General features: G+C 35.7%; 1 protein-coding gene across 49 annotated transcripts in view; it reads right to left on the bottom strand.

The window, feature by feature from the left end:
* Positions 1-17,405, bottom strand: part of R3HCC1L (R3H domain and coiled-coil containing 1 like) — a 110,241-nt gene that overhangs the window by 41,332 nt on the left and 51,504 nt on the right. For 25 of the 49 annotated variants that reach the window (XR_007061959.1, XM_047425065.1, XM_047425071.1 and 22 more), the window contains one exon: positions 17,003-17,099. The exons of the other annotated variants lie outside the window; for them this stretch is intronic. The gene's annotated coding sequence lies outside the window, so the exon portion shown is untranslated. The remainder of the gene's footprint in view (positions 1-17,002; positions 17,100-17,405) is intronic. 49 annotated transcript variants of the gene reach the window in all.

The raw sequence follows: 17,405 nt of genomic DNA, 5'->3' as shown, positions 1-17,405 counted from the left end.
AGTATTTACCAAAGACTCACATGAGACATCTGATATTTGAGAGAAACTGCCTAATGAGCATACTATTCATTCTTCTAGAACAAATTCTGTATTTGTTAGTTCATCAGAATGCACCATAGCTAAACTATATATATTGTCTTAACATTTTATTTGGGAATAATTTCATACCTATAGATGTTACAAAAGTAAAAATAATACAAATGGTACCCTTATACTGTTTACCCATATTCACCTATGGTTAATATTTCACCTCATTTATCATTTGGAATCATGCATATATTCCTCCTCCTCTTCCTCTCTTTACATACACATACACACACATGCAGTTTTTTTCCTGAATATTTTTGAGGGCAAATTACAGACATCATGGCCCTTTGCCCTAAATACTTCAAAGTATAATGTATTTCCTATAAATAGGGATATTCTCTTATGCAGCCATAATACAGTTATCAAAGTCAGCATATTTAACACTAATATAATACTTTCATTTAACATAAGTAATCCAGTTTTGTCAAGCGATCCTGTAATGTCCTTTATAGAATATTTCCCTTTCCATACAGGATCCAGTTAGGGTCAGGTAGTGCCTTTAACTGCCAGGTGTCTTAAGCCTCCGACATTCTAGAACACCTCCACAGTGAAAGCTGTCATTTATGACACTGACATTTTGGGAGAACAGCTCCCCTCCCCACTCTATTTTTTTTTTTTTTCCTGTGACGGAGTCTTACTCTGTCACCCAGGCTGGAGTGCAGTGGCACAATCTCAGCTCACTGTAACCTCCGCCTCGCAGGTTCAAGTGATTCTCCTGCCTCAGTCTCCCAAGTGAGTAGCTGGGACTACAGGCGACTGCCACCATGCCTGGCTCATTTTTATAATTTTAGTAGAGACAGGGTTTCACCATATTGGCCAGGCTGGTCTCAAACTCCTGACCTTGTGTTCCGCCCGCCTCAGGCTCCCAAAGTGCTGGGATTACAAGCGTGAGCCACCGCGCCCGGCCCCCACTCTATTTTTTAAGAGAATGCTCCTTATGTAAGGTTTGTCTGATGTCTTCCCGTGATGAGACTGAGGTTACACATTTTCAGCCAGAACACTTCATGGTGGTGATGTGTCCTCAGGGCATCACATCTTGAGGCACATGATTTCCACCTGTCCTTCAGTGATGCTCTTAACTTTGATCATCCAGTCCCAGTATTGTCCAATTTTTCTACTGTATAATTACTATGTATTTTCTCCCTTGCAATTAATAAGCGGTGTGTGGGGTAGCACTTTAAAAGCATGCAAATTTTCTGCTTCCTCATCAAAACCAGGTAGCATCCTAAATTTGTTTATTCTTCTCTGATTCCATCTTTACTGTGATGGTTGCAAAACAGATGATTTTCCAACTTGAGGGGTCCCTGCATATTTTACCAGTCAGGCCTTGGAATTTTTCTGAAAGCAAAAGTAAATCATTTATCTTAGCTCACTAGAGACGCTAAGATTCCCTAAATTAAAATTTAATGTTAAAATCTCAGCCAGAGGCATGCGCCTGTAATCCGAGCTCTTGGAAGGCTGAGGTGGGAGGACAGCTTGAGGCCACGAGTTCAAGGCTGCAGTGTGCTATGACTGTGCCTGTGGATGAACAACCACTACACTCCAGCTTGGGCAAGGTAGTGAGACCCCGTCTCTTTAAAAAAAAAAAAAAAAAAAATCTCATCTTTCATAGTCATTGGTCAATAAAGAAAATATCCATCCAAAAAACATTTCCTAACTTTTGCAAAATCAAGGCTGAAGGCAACTATCATTTTTCCAGTGTCTCACTTATAAAACAAAGGAAAGAAAGCTGTCTCTCTGACAAAGTCATATAGTTCCTTTACCAGACATAGCATAACATGTGTCTCATTCTGCTTTCTTTTCTAGAAAATACAGAATTAAGTTTGGTGTTCAAATGCAATGACTAATGCATCTCAGGTGTCTGATAATATTTGTTTCCCTGTCCCTTTATAAAGTCATCTCCAATTCCCTTGAGAAGGAGGCAAGGCACATGGGAGGGTACGGAAGGAAAATATTTTTGTGGAAAATACTTAGACAGTATATTCATTTCAAATCTATTTTCTGAATAATATCTTTAAGTTTTATCAACTTAAATATGTTTGAATGACAATATATTCTTTGGAATTATAAAATGTCTTAAGTGAGGTATTCAGTATATTGAGTTCTAATCCTGGCATCCTCTTCAAATGATATGCAAAAAACTATGCAACAGAAAGATATTTATATAAAGCATTCACTACCAGACCACTACCAGACCATTACAATTCTCATACATTTAAATGCCAATGCAAATATCTTGAATGTTAAGATTCAACAGACAGGCTTTTAATTCAAGATGACAGATTAAGCACACAAGTAAACCCCCCTAAAATGGATCCACATCTATATGGAATTCATTTTATAATAAACGTGGCACTCCAAATCAATGGAAAAATATGGAACATTCAATGTCAGGACAAATGCCTAGCTGTTCATTTGGCTTGTCAATATTGAAGGTTTTGTGTGTATATTCAAATGAGACTGGTCTACGATTTTCCCTCCCAGTACTGGGAGTTATATGATTGGGTTACCAAGGTTACTGCAAGACACACTATGTAAGTTAAAGATTTATAAAATAAGGCTGGGTGGGCTTACTGTTGGTAGAATTCCTTGGCAGCACTGTCTGGGACTCATACTTTTTGGTGAAGATGTTTAAAAATCATTCATTTTCTTTAATGTTAAAGGTCTATTCTAGTTTCTCTTTCTTCTTCTAGAAAATCTGCCTTTGACCTAGCTTTTCAAATTTGATATAAAAGTTATTCACAGTAAGTTCTTGTTGTTGCTTTAGCTCTGCTATATGTCCCCTTTTTTGTGCTTAATATTATTTATTTGTGCTTTCTTCCTTTTGTGTTGAGCAGTGCCGACGGAAGTCTATTTTATAAGTCTTCAATGGGCCAGATTCTATACTACAAAAGTTATTGCTCTAAGCCTTAGTTTACTTAATGCATAAAATGGGGATAATAACAGACTTATAGGCACACTGAGCAGATTACCTAAAAATATGCATGTACAGAAATTTGCCAGGCATGGTAAAAGTCTCCATAAAAGTCAGCTATTATTACTTAAATGGACATTGAATCCCTTAAGTTACAAGTTTGCAGACGGAGTCAAGGCCCTTATGATACACTAGTATTCATAATGTCCCCTGATATCTGTTTCTACTAGACACTAACACCTATTGCAACCATGTATCCTGGTTTTGTTTATCAATTTCTCACTAATAGCCTATTGCTGTAAATACTCAATCACACGAAGTAAATACAATGCAACTCAGTAGTAATGTGAAAATACAAACCCTCAAAAGAATGCAGGATTTCATGAAGTCTATGAAAATAATATTAAAGAAAATGCTCATCTCACAGCAACATCCTTTGATTCTGGCAGAATCAAACCACTCAACAACTAAAGATAGAACAATTCACTCAACAACTAAAGAAGGACGATGATAGAATAAGAATTGAGAAAGGGTTAAGAAAATATCTTGAGAAACTGGTGAAACCCTCAAGAGTTTTGATAAGACTGATACACAAGTCTATTTTATATAACAAATGCTAGATAAATGAAACACAAAATGAAGGATGCTATCAGACTATTATACAATTCTACTGGAAAAATTATGCCAGGAAGATATCACATCATTCTTTGTTGATTCTGAGAATTAGCACAGCTGCAGTTACAATTTAAATTTTGTTAAACATATAGAAAAATGATATACATATAGTAAAATGTTTTCATTTCTGAATACTGTCCCTAACAAGTCGTTTTCATTAATAACTAATAAATCTTGTCTCCATTTTTAATAGGTTTACTTTTAAGAGGTATTTTCCAAATACTAATTTTCTCAATTAGCAAGAATTTCTCTTAAGTGTATATTCCTAATGAGGAAAAAAAAAGCTATTATCTAAACTGCTAACACTGATTACAACTGGGAGAGCAGGAACTGAAACAGGAAAAAGAATTATAAAGAATTATCATCTTTTTATACAACATATGCCACAGTATTGTTTAAATTTGTTACAAAAAGAACAGGCAGTATTCTTGTAATTAAAAAAAAAATCACTAAAATTTAAAGATACGCTATTGTTTTAGCATAATAGGACATTACTATAAACATGTAAGAGAAAGCAAAGGCAATGAATATTGATAAGCAGATATTTATTGGACAAAATTACTGTAAGCAAGAAAATGATGAGAGGACAAAAGAAACTCTTTAATATACTTGACAGGAAAATGAAACAAGCAGCACATAAATTACTCGATGTTGGAAAGATACTCTCAAATGCTGCAGAATGCTGAGCAACCTCTACTCTTTAGTTTAAGAATGATCTAGGACTATACTGTCCAATTAGTCACAAGTAGCTATCAAGCACTTGAAGTGTAGTTAGTCTAAACTGAGATGTGCTGTGCATATAAAATACATTTGGATTTCAAAGACTTCATACAAAAAAATGCAAAATGTCCATTATTTTTATACTGATTATATGTTGAAATGATACTATTTTGAATATACTGCATTAAATAAAACATTAAAATTAACTTCATTTGTTTATTTTTGTAGTTTTTAAAGTAGCTTCTAGAGAATTTAGAATTACATATGTGGTTCACATTTGTGGTCCACATTAAATAATTCTAATGGGTTAGCACTGGTCTAAGATCTTGCCATATCCCTAATGCCACAGGACAAATATAATCTGCTTTTCTCCTTCTGTTTTGTTGGCTTCAGCAGCATGGGAACACACCAAATCAAGAAATCAACTAAACCATGAATGTACAGATAAGCTTATCTGCATACAAACACTTTAGTTCATAATGATTTTTTTAAAGGATCCAAAGAAGTAAAGTCTATTCATGTTCCATAAATCAGAAAACAAAACCAATTAGATAACAATCTGAGAGGCAAAAGTCAGCTCCAACAAATTTAGAAGCATTTTTCCCAACTTTTTTTTTTTTCCTGAAAACGAAGGCTTTTTATTATGTTTGAAACTGTGGAAGGCCCTAATTTCAAATCATTTCTTTGCATATTAAAAAAATAACTTCCTTGGTTTCACTACACTATCAAGAGTATTCTTTCTTCTCATTGGTCTACTTGCAAACTGGCAAAACTAAGAGATGTCCTAGTCCTGCCATTCAGCAGTGTATATGTCCATTTGTAAAGGCATGGAAGTACCTTACAGACAAATTTAGTATGTTTGTAATTTAGTGTAGTATTAAAAATTATATTAAGTGATACAAGCAAATCATAAGATTTCTGGGCACTAAGATAATTATACACTTTTAAATTCTAGCCATCCTCTTAAAAAAAAAATTCACTGCTCTCCTCTCCCTAACTTCATAGTTTGGTGAACAGTATCACTGTCAGCCCATTTGTTCAAGCCAAAACCCGGGAAGTCACTATCCCTGATATTTCAATCATTTACCAAGTCCTATTCACCCACCTCTACACTGCTTCCAGTGACTTTCTAAAAGACCAATCAGATTCTCCTCTTCATTTCCCAGTTCAAAATTCTTCAGTGGTTTTTCACACACAAGCTTTTTTGCATAACAAATACAATCCTACATAATTTAGCTCCATTACCACCCTCAAAACTTCCTTTTCTATAACTTCATTACTATATAGAAAAGGTTACCTTTTCTATAACTTCATTATGACTCTCCTTGATAGTCTAAGGTCCTTCCTGTAAGTTTCCACTATACATACACCTTTACATACATACACTTTCATTAAAGCAATTATCATACTGCTTTATAGTTACTTGTTTGCACATCTGCCTCTCTTCTTCAGTGTAGAGTTAGTTTCTTTTTGTCTTTGTATCTACAATGCCATTGCACTGCATTTGTTACTAAATAAATATCATTTATTTATATCACTAAATATTCATTCATTCCACAAATATTTATTAACTACTGTGTGCCAAGTCCCATCTTAGGCATTGGGAACACAGTAATGAACAAAGCTCCTGGCCTCATGGAACTTACTGGTGAAGACAATCAATCAATCAACAAACATTTAAACACATCCTATAATGTATAAGGCTACAGAGTAAAATGGAGCAGAGATGAAAATACAAGGAAGACCATGTTGTAAAGTGAGGAAGACCACACTGAGGAGTTAACACCTGAGCTGATGTTTAAATCGAGTCAGAGAGACACATAAATTATCAGGGAAAAGAGAAATCCAGGAAAAAGAATGAACACGTGCAAAAACTCTGAGGCAGGACAATTTTGGCACGGACAAGAAGTAACAGGAAAACAAGTGTGGTATCAGCAGAATAGGAAGGGGTGGAGGGGGGGGCATGGTGGCTTGCATCTGTAATCCGAGGTCAGGAGTTCAAGGCCAGCCAGGCCAACATGGTGAAACCTCTGCTCTACTAAAAATACCAAAAATAGCCAGGCATGGTGGCACACGCCTGTAATCCCAGCTACTTGGGACGCTGAGGTAGGAGAAATCACTTGAACCTGGGAGGCTGAAGTAGGAGAATCACTTGAACCTGGGAGGTGGAGGCTGCAGTGAACTGAGATTGTGCCACTGCACTCCAGCCTGGGTGACAGAGTAAGACCCTGTCTCAAGAAAAAAAAGAAGGGGCGGAGAAGTCAGTAAGACAGCTAAGGGCCAGAATTAGTAGTGGCTGGTAGGTTATGGCAAGAGCTTCGGATTTTATTTTCAGAGTGCTGGGGAATTATTGGAAGGTTTCAACATGATCTGACTTACTTTTGCTAAAGATCATTCTAGCTAATATGTAAGTACAGGGGGACAAGAGTAGAAGGAAGGAAACCTGTTAGGAAGTTATTGCAGCACGTCTAGGGTGGTAGCAGAGGTCATAAGAAGTGGTCAGATTAATCATAGAATCTGAAAGCAAAGCTAACAAAACTTTATGGACTGATTGTATGGGATGTGAAAGAAGAGAGGAGAAACCCTTTCTCTACAAAAAATACAAAAATTAGTTGGACATGGTAGCACACGCCTTATAGTCCCAGCTACTCAGGAGGCTGAGTTGGAGGAAAACTTGAACCCAGCAGGTTGAGGTTTCAACCCTATCTCAAATAAATAAATAAATACAAATAAAATAAGATAAATGCTGTTGGAAGGTCAAGTAGGACGAACTGAGAATTTCCACTGGATTTAGCAAGATGGGGTTGTCGTTAACACTGGAATGGCTTCATGGAATTGGGGAGATAAATATCCCACTGGAACAGTCTAGGAAGCAAGTATGAGGGGAGGAAGACTAATCCAATAGGAAGGTAAAAACTGATGATGTAAATGGGAGATGAATGGGTTAACTGTAATAAAGGCATAGATAAATAATTTTTAAATCCTGGAACAAAAAGTGAGCAACTATGAGAATAGAAATTCTAACAATACCTGCTTTGTCATACCTTTATTAGAAATGCAAGGGTAGTACTAAGTAGAATATAATATTTTGCACTCCTCTATTCACCACATGACAAAGCACCTTGAGACTCAGTATTTATACATAAATAAATGTCACATATTCAAAATCTTCCTTAAAAGCTATTCTTGACTTAGCAAAGTTCAGTATTAAAGCCTGTACAAAATCAGTTCTCCAGTCATTTGAATTCAGTCTAAGGAACACATATTTAAATAAACTCTGCTTCTTTAGCAATAGTCAGTATACAGCTTTGGAATACTGGCTGACTTTATGGATATAGCAGCTAATATTTATCGATGAATTTTTATACAGTGCTCAGTGTTCTGATGACAAAACTAGATACAAAGTTATTTTTCTTGGCCACTACAGGCTACTTGAAGAATGAGGTATCCAAGTAAAAAAAGACGGGGTTTAACAAGGTACAGTTTTAAAAATAATAGATGGCTCAAAGGTCTACAATGGAAGGTACAATCTACTTTTAGGAAAAGTTTTAATAGCTAACAAAGAGTTTTTTTTTGTGTGTATTTTAATACAAAAGGACTTTACAATAAACCTAAAAGCAAAAACTAAAAATCTGTATTCTCCTTCCAGAGAAAACCACTGTAACATTTTGTTTTGTATGCTTATAGACGTTTTGTGCATTTTCTGTAGTAAAAAAAAAAAAAAGAACATAAATTTACCTCTTCACAATTCTCAAGTGTATAGCACAGTATTTTAACTATATGCATATTGTTGTATGACAGATCACTAAACTTTCTCATCTGACATGACTGAAACTCTACACTCACTGAACAATTCCTCATTTCCTTGGCAACCACCATTCTAGTTTCTGTTTCTATGAGTTTAATTCCTTTAGATACCTCATATTAGTGAAATTATGCAAGTATTCAACTTTTTGTGATTGGGTTATTTCACTTAGCAAAATGTCCTGAAGGTTCAACCATGAGGCAGCATGACAGGAATTTCTTCCTCATAAGGTTGGATGATATTCTGTTGTAGGTACATGCCATATTTTCTTTATCCATTCATCCACTGATGAACACTTAACGTTGCTTCCACATCTTGATTACTGTGAATAATGCTGCACTGAACATGGGAGTGCAGATGTCTCTTTAACATCTAATCTCATTCCCTCGGAATATATACCCAGTAGTGGGACTGCTGGCTTATATGATAGTTCTATTTTTAGTTTTAGGAAGAATTTCCATATGTTTTCCATAGGAGCTGTGCCATTGTACAATCCCACCAACAGTGTGCAAGGGTTCCAATTCCTCTACATCCTTGTCAACACTTGTTATTTTCTGTTTCTTCTTTGATGGCGGCCATCTTAGGTGTGAGATAATATCTTACTGTGGTTTTTATTTGCATCTCCCTAATGATTAGTTGTGTAGAACATCTTTTCACATGCCTGCTGGCCATGCACGTATCTTCTTGGGAGAAATCTTTATTTGGGTTCTGCTCATTTTTTATTCAGATTATTTGTTACTGAGTTGTCAAGTTCTTTATATATTCCCAATATTAACCCCTAGTCTAATATATGGTTTACAAATATCTTCTCCTATTCCTCAGGCTGTGTTTACACTCTGACAACTGTTTATTTGCTGTATAGAAGACTTTTAAGTTGGATGTATGTTTTTTACATTTTTAGTTTTTTAAGTTGGATGTACATGTTTTTGCTGTTTTTGTTACTTGTGCTTTTGATGTCATATGCAAGAAACCACTGCTAATTCCAATATCAAGAAGCTTTTCCCCTGTTTTTTTCTAGGTTCTCAGTTCTTATATTTAATCCATTTTTAATTAAATTTTGTATATGGTACACCTCATTCTTTTGCATGTGGATATCCAGTTTTCCCAACACGATTTATTGAAGAAACTATCCTTTTTTCCATTGTGTAGTCTTGGTATGCTCATCAAAGATCATTTGACTATACGTGGGTTTATTTCTGGGCTCTCTAGTCTGTGCTACTGGTCTATATGTCTGCTTGTATGCTAACACCATACTGTTTTGATCACTATAGCTTTGTAATATACTATGGAATCAGGAAGTGTGAGGCCTCCAGCTTTGTTCTTCTTTCTCAAGACTGCTTTGGCTATTTGGGCTCCTTTGAGATTCCATATGAATTTTAGGATGGTTTTATCTGTTTCTGCAAAAAACGCTGTAAGGATTTTGACAGAGATTGTTCTGACTCTGTAGACTGGACAGTATGGACATTTTAACAATATTAAGTCTTCCAATCCACAACAGTATTGCATCAATATTTATCAGGAATATTGGTCTTCTTGTACAGATTGAGCAGCCCTAGTACAAGAATCCTAAATCCAAAATGCTCCAAAATCCAAAACTTTTTGTGTGCTGACAGTGCTCAAAGGTCATACTCAAGGGAAATGCTCATTGAAGCATTCTGAATTTTGGATTTTTGGAGTAGAGATGCTCAACCAGTAGTATTTGTCTGGCTTTAGTTTCAGCATAATAATACCAATTTATGTCTTTCCATATTTTTGTATCTTTAATTTCTTTCAGCAATGTTTTATAGTTTTCAATGTATGTCCTTCTCCCCTCGATTAAGTTTACTCTTATGCATTTTATTCTTTGTGATGTTACTGTAAATGAGATTTTCTTTATTTCCTTAATTGTTAGTGCACAGAAACACAAGTGATTTTGGAGAGTTGATTTTGTATCCTGCAACTTGGCTGAATTGGTTTAACAGTTCTTACAGTTTTTTTTATTTTTTATTTTTTTTGGTTTTGTACACGTAAAACCAAGTCATCTGTGATTAGGGATAATCTTACTTCCTCCTTTCCAATTTGGATGCTTTTTATTTCTTTTTCTCGTCTAACTGCTCTAGCTAGGATTTCTATTACAATGTTGAAGAAAGTGATGAGTGGGCATTCTTGCCTTGTTCCTGATCTTAGAGGAAAAACTTCATTTTTCACTAATGATTATGTTAGCTGTGAGTTTTTCACATATTACCTTTATTATGTTGAGATAATTTCCTTCTATTCCTAGGTTGTTGAGTGTTTTTATCATAAAAAGGTATTATGTTTTGTCAGTACTTTTACTGAATCAGTTGAAATGATGTGATTTTTGTCCTCAGTTGTTAATATTGTATATATTCTATATTTATTGATTTTCATATGTTGAGCCATCCTTGCATCCCAGAGATAAATTCCACTTGGTCATGGTGTAAGATCCTTTTAATGTCTTATTGAATTCATCTTGCTAGTATTTTGTGGAAGATTTTTACAATATTCATCAGAGATACTGGCCTGTAGTTTTCTTATAGTATCTCTGGCTTTGGTATCAGGGTAATACTGACCTCATTAAATGAGTCTGGAAGTGTTCCTTCCTCTTCCATTTTTTGGAAGAGTTTAAGAAGAATTGGTATCAATTCTCCTTTAAATGTTTGGTAGAATTCCCCAATGAAGCCATGTGGTCCTGGGCTTTTCTTTGCTAGGAGATTTTTGCTTACTAATTGAATTTCCTTACTGCTTATGGGTCTGCTCAGATTTTCTATTTCTTCATTATTCAGTCTTGTTATGTTTCTAGAAATCTATCAGTTTCTTTCAGGTTAGCCAATATGTTGGCGTATAATTGTTTATAATAGTCACTTAATGATCCTTTGTATTTCTGTGGCATCAGTTGCAATGTCTCCTTTTTCATTTCTGACTTCAGTTGAGTCTATTCTCTTTTTCCTTAGCCTAGCTAAGGGTTTGTCAATTTTATTGATCTTATGATCTTTTCAAAATGCCAAACTATTTAGTTTCTTTACTTTTTTCTATTATTTTCCTATTTTCTATTTTGTTTATTTCTGCTCTATATTATTTCCAAGACCTTTTTTTTTAAAGCTTTATAAGACTTACCTAAAAGCATAGGTTCCTAAGCCAGTTTTTCCAATTTTTTTCCTGCATTCCACAGTAAGAAAAGCATTTCATATAATAACACAGTAAACAGACTCATACACATATGTGACTTAAAAAAAAAGTCCAGGCTGGGTACAGTGGCTCACACCTATAATCCCAGCACTTTGGGAGGCTGAGGCGGGTGGATCACCTGAGGTCAGGAGTTCATGACCAGCCTGGCCAACATGGTGAAGCCCCATCTCTACTGAAGGTACAAAAATTAGCCAGGCGTGGTGGCGGGTGCCTGTAATCCCAGCTACTTGGAAGGCTGAAGTAGAAGAATTGCTTGAACCCGCGAGGCAGAGGTTACAGTGAGCCGAGATCACGCCACTGCACTCCAGCCTGGGCAACAGAGTGAGACTCCATCCTTACCTTACACCTTATACAAAAATTGATTCAAGATGGATTAAAGACTTAAATGTTAGACCTAAAACCATAAAAACCCTAGGAGAAAACCTAGGCAATACCATTCAGGACATATGCACGGGCAAGGACTTCATGATTAAACACCAAAAGCAATGGCAACAAAAGCCAAAATTGACAAATGGGATCTGATTAAACTAAAGAGCTTCTGCACAGCAAAGAAACTACCATCAGAGTGCACAGGCAACCTGCAGAATGGGAGAAAATTTTTGCAATCTACTCATCTGACAAAGGGCTAATATCCAGAATCTACAAAGAACTTAAACAAATTTACAAGAAAAAAACAAACAGCCCCATCAAAAGCGGGCAAAGGATATGAACAGACACTTCTCAAAAGAAGACATCTATGCAGCCAACAGACACATGAAAAAATGCTCATCTTCACTGGTCATCAGAGAAACGCAAATCAAAACCATGATGAGATACCATCTCACGCCAGTTAGAATGGCAATCATTAAAAAGTCAGAAAACAACAGATGCTGGAGAGGATGTGGAGAAATAGGAATGCTTTTACACTGTTGGTGGGAGTGTAAATTGGTTCAACCATTGTGGAAGACAGTGTGGCAATTCCTCAAGGATCTAGAACTAGAATTACCATTTCACCCAGTGATCCCATTACTGGGTACATACCCAAAGGATTATAAATCATGCTACTATAAAGACACACACACACATATGTTTAATGCGGCACTATTCACAATAGCGAAGACTTGGAACCAACCCAAATGTCCATCAATGATAAACTGGATTAAGGACATGTGGCACATATACACCATGGAATACTATGCAGCCGAAAAAAAGGATGAGTTCATGTCCTTTGCAGGGACATGGATGAAGGTGGAAACCATCATTCTCAGCAAACTATCACAAGGACAGAAAACCAAACACCACATGTTCTCACTCATAGGTAGGAACTGAACAATGAGATCACTTGGACACATGGCAGTGAACATCACACACTGGGGCCTGTCGGGGGGTGGGGGACTGGGGGAGGGATAGCATTAGGTGAAATACCTAATGTAAATGATAATTTGATGGGTGAAGCAAACCAACATGGCACATGCATACCTATGTATCAAACGTGCAGGTTGTGCACATGTACTGTAGAACTTAAAGTATAATAATAAAAAAGTCCATAAAATACTTACCCTTAATATATGCACTACTATTACTTTTAATCTAGAATTCTTCTTCACTTTTTACAATTTAAGGCTTTTAAAATTCTTACAATTTAAGATCTATTTATTCACTAAGTTGATTTCACTTGAATAAAAGTTTTGAAATACTATTCTAAACAGCATATTCAATGTCAGAAAAGTATACAACAGGCATAGAAAATATTTTCTGTTTCAAATAATTTGTAATTCTGGTTGTAGAGCAAGGTAAAAGAGAAAACATGAGTAAAAAATTGGAAGATTCTTTGACAGAATAAAATTAGAATAATAAAATAATAAAATAAAAAATATACCCAATCCTTTCCACACTTTCAAGGTCTTCCCACTTTCAATGTCAATCACAAGTACAGTACAACTGGCCCTCCATATCCATGGGTCTATGGATTCAACCAACCCAGAGATGGAAATATTCAGTTAAAAAAATTGTGTCTGTACTGAACATGCACAGATTTTCCTCGTTATTATTCCCTAACAATGAAGTCTAACAAATATTTACCTAGCATTTATATTGTATTAGGTATAAGTAATCTAGAGATGATATAAAGTAAAAAGGAGGATGTACATAGGTTATATACAAATACTGCCGTTTTATATCAGAGACTTGAACATCCTCAAATTGTGGTATCCAAGGAAAGTCTTGGAACCAATTCTCCAGGGATACTAAGGGTCAACTGCATTTGCAAATAAGAAATCAAGAAATGTCCTTCTCCTGCACAGGCGCTTCACTTAAAAGAGATTCAACACAAACACAGCACAGAGGCACTTGTGTGTGATATAATAACATAAAAAATTATACTTGGACAGCAGAGAAATGGCTTCATATTTTAAAAACTATAAAATCTGCTAATGAACCACAACTGATTCTGCTGTAGTTTTCTTAATGCATCCTTCCGTAAATGCACTTGCACTAGTTATTATAATACAATGATATATTTCACACTTGAAAACACAAAATAATTCCTGTATCTGCTTGGAGATTCATTTTTACTTCTATTCAAACCAGGTTATACAAAATATATATTACAATTTAAAAGAATAAGACAATAATTTCTAAAATTAAAGTCTATAGTGAAAGAAATTACTCTATAGGTCTTCTCTTTAACATATCTGAACTAAAGAGAAATAAGCTTTTAACCCAGGTAGACACTCACTGAGAGACCTTACATAGATAGACCTTACTAAAAGGCATGCAAGAAACAGAATCACTAGTAAAAAGCAGAATGAGAAGTCAAACAGTTCTGTTCAAACTGCCAAACTGCGCCATGTATAAGGTGATGCCTCAAGGCCTTCTTCATTGTGAAATGCTGTCCTCACCCCATATGCAATGCACAGCTGTACTACAACCTCCAGATCACTATTTTTTGTTTTAGTAGAGTACCTGATTTTTATTGTTTCTTTCTCTTCACCATCTGTCACTTATTGCTACTCTAGGCATTTCTATTTCTCTCAACCTAAAGGGCAATGCAAATTCCAGAGTGTCCAAATTACATACAAAGTAACAATAAAAGCCCTCTAAGTAAGGATCTGAGGTGCTTCCTAATTGAGCAAAATATATGAACTTCAATACATGAACTTTATATTTATTTTGGCCACTTATCAGATCTTATTTGCTCACCTGACAACTCACTTGACTATTTTATGTTCAAAATAGTAACATTTCATTTGATTCTCCCAACAACCCTATGAAGTAGAATTATTACTAGTCCAATTCTACCAATGATAAAACCGAGGCAACAAGGGTGTTAAATTGTGTCCACCAAGGCCAAAGGACTAGAATATGGCAGAGGATTATCTAGATCCTAATCTAGATACTCTGAGACCAATGTCTGTGCTCATAAATGCCTATGGCAATATGACTATATCAGTGTGGTTAGTACTCCCCACTTAAATATCTTTAACAATCTTATAGGAAAAAATACATAAATAACTATATCAATTACTTAATGTTAGGAGATGAGAAGCCCCAATTGCCTTCTTTAACCTCTCCAAAAGCTACTCTGAAAGACATAACTGAGGCACAGAAATGAAAAGCCAAAGGAACACCAGTTCAACAAAGCTGATAAGGAAGTTTTCTACAGTCTAGCCTTATTTAGCATTACACTGAGCCTATCCTATAATGGATCCAAACACAGGAGTCTCCATTGCCATTTGAAGACTTACTTGTCAAGGATGACTTAGGGCTGTTCCTTTTGAGATGTAGTTCTAAATGATCTCTGAATGCCTACTGAATACTTGTATATTTTAGCTTTCAATAAATATTCCTTGAGTAAATGCGGGCTGGGTATTCTGCGCTCTCTACTGCCATACCAAACTGTAAGCTTGTCTGACTAACAATCATACCTACAACTCCTTGAAAGCAAGAAATACCTTATCATTTTTAGTTTCTCAATACCCAGCACCATTCCTGGCACATACAGCATTCAATAAGATGTTTGTTAAATAAATGAGCACAAAAGCAAATGTGCCTGGCACAAAGCAGTATCAATTCAGATGTTTCTCCTTAATTTGAGATTGTGTGTGTGTGTGTGTAAAAGGTATGTGTATTCTTGAACAACATTAAGAATTCCTTTGGCCAAGTATAATGGGTCCTGCCTATAACCCCAGGACTTCTGGGAGGCCAAGATGGGAGGATCACTTAAGTCCAGGAGTTCGAGACCAGCCTAGGCAACATAGCGAGACTCTATATGTACAAAAAAAAATTGTTTTTTAATTAGCTGGGCATGGTGGTGCACATCTGTAGCCCTACCTACTTAGGAGGCTGAGGTAGGAGGATCACCTAAGCCCAGGAGTTTGAGGTTACAGTGAACTAAGACCAGACCAATGCACTCCATCCTGGAGAACAGAACAAGACCTTATCTCTTAAAAAAAAAAAAAAAAAAAAAAGAATTGTTACATCTTATCTGTTTGACTCAACTCACTAGCTATTTTCCTACTAAAGCAAACCTTTCTCAATTTGTATATATGATACATATCTATTTATAGAAAGAGACCTTATGTGCAAACTAATGATAACAGCAAAATTAAACCGGAGCCAGACTTAAGCTCCCCATCCAAAAAACCTACTTCATTCTTGTAAACCATAATTTCCTGCCACCATCAAAGAATTGATACTCTGTATTTTTACATTACTAGCCCTTTTTACAGATGGGAAATATGTAAACATAATCCAATTATGAGAAATGATTAAGAGACCTATGATTATGACTGTTTCTTAGATTATAAAAACCTTACATGGCTGATATGCCCTAATGTGAAAATCTGCAATCCAAAATGCTCCAAAGTCCAAAACATTCTGAGCACCGACATGACACTCAAAGGAAATGAACACTGGAGCATTTCAGATTTCAGATTTTCAGGTTAGGGATTCTCAACTGTTAAATATAATGCAAATATTCAAAAAAAAAAATCAAAATCAAAAACACTTCTGGTCCCAAGCAGTCCAGATAAGGGCTACTCAATCTGTAGTATGTTGGATTTAACAAACTGTACATGGCAATATAATTTAAACTTGTACCCTACCAAATAAGTCAATGAATGAAGCACTGGGTTAAGTGCTTGTATACATCATCTCACTTAACCTTTGTAACAACTCTTCAAGGTGTATATAATTATTATCACCATTTTACAGACAAATAAATGAAGACTCAAGGTTGTACATCTGTACTTACTAAGTACAGAAACCAGAATGCACACCCAGCTTTGACTAATACCTGAGCTATTTAGCTACTCACAACTCTATCCCACAGTACACCCCCAAAAAAGCAAAAAATTTCTAAATCATGACTGCCTAACTCTAACATTGTAATAATACACCATACTTGCTTTTAACTACATCATTCTGAGAAGGAAAACTGATGGCCTTCATAAGCTTCACGCCTACTTTCCCACCTTAAGCACTGAAATCTTGAATCATATGAGAGCTGTTTATCACTAACATCCTTTTTCTGAAAACTATACTTTGCCCCTCCACTGCCATGAAAAACATTATTGGCACCCACAGCAATGTTGTGTATAAAACTTGTCACAACTGTTAGTGGCAATGGTCACTACCTTAGGTGACTCTGGAGTCTCAGAAGACTTGAACACTCTAATGTAAGTTCTAAAGGTTTATGTAAGATCCACCACACCAAATGCTGAGTAAAACCATCTGGAAAAAACAAGGAAATTATATGATTAAATATAGTTAAATGTCTCTCTACATGGAACAGCTATTTGAGAAGATCAATTGTATGCTATTTTTGTTCCAAAAGAGCAAGGTTTGCAGATTTTTTGTTTATATACCAATAAGCCAAACATCAAAACCGAAGGAACCAAACTGTCCTGTTTTTCTCAACACTCAAAGACAATCAGGCAAGAGAAGTTCATTTACCATGACTTACATATTACTTAGATATTTTTTCCTTTTCTCTTTTTCTGACTTACCTCCACGGCCTCAATGAATTTTGGGCCATAC

Source organism: Homo sapiens, chromosome 10, assembly GCF_000001405.40.
Source record: "Homo sapiens chromosome 10, GRCh38.p14 Primary Assembly".
Lineage (NCBI taxonomy): Eukaryota > Metazoa > Chordata > Mammalia > Primates > Hominidae > Homo > Homo sapiens.
This window is presented reverse-complemented; position numbering and strand designations above follow the sequence as displayed.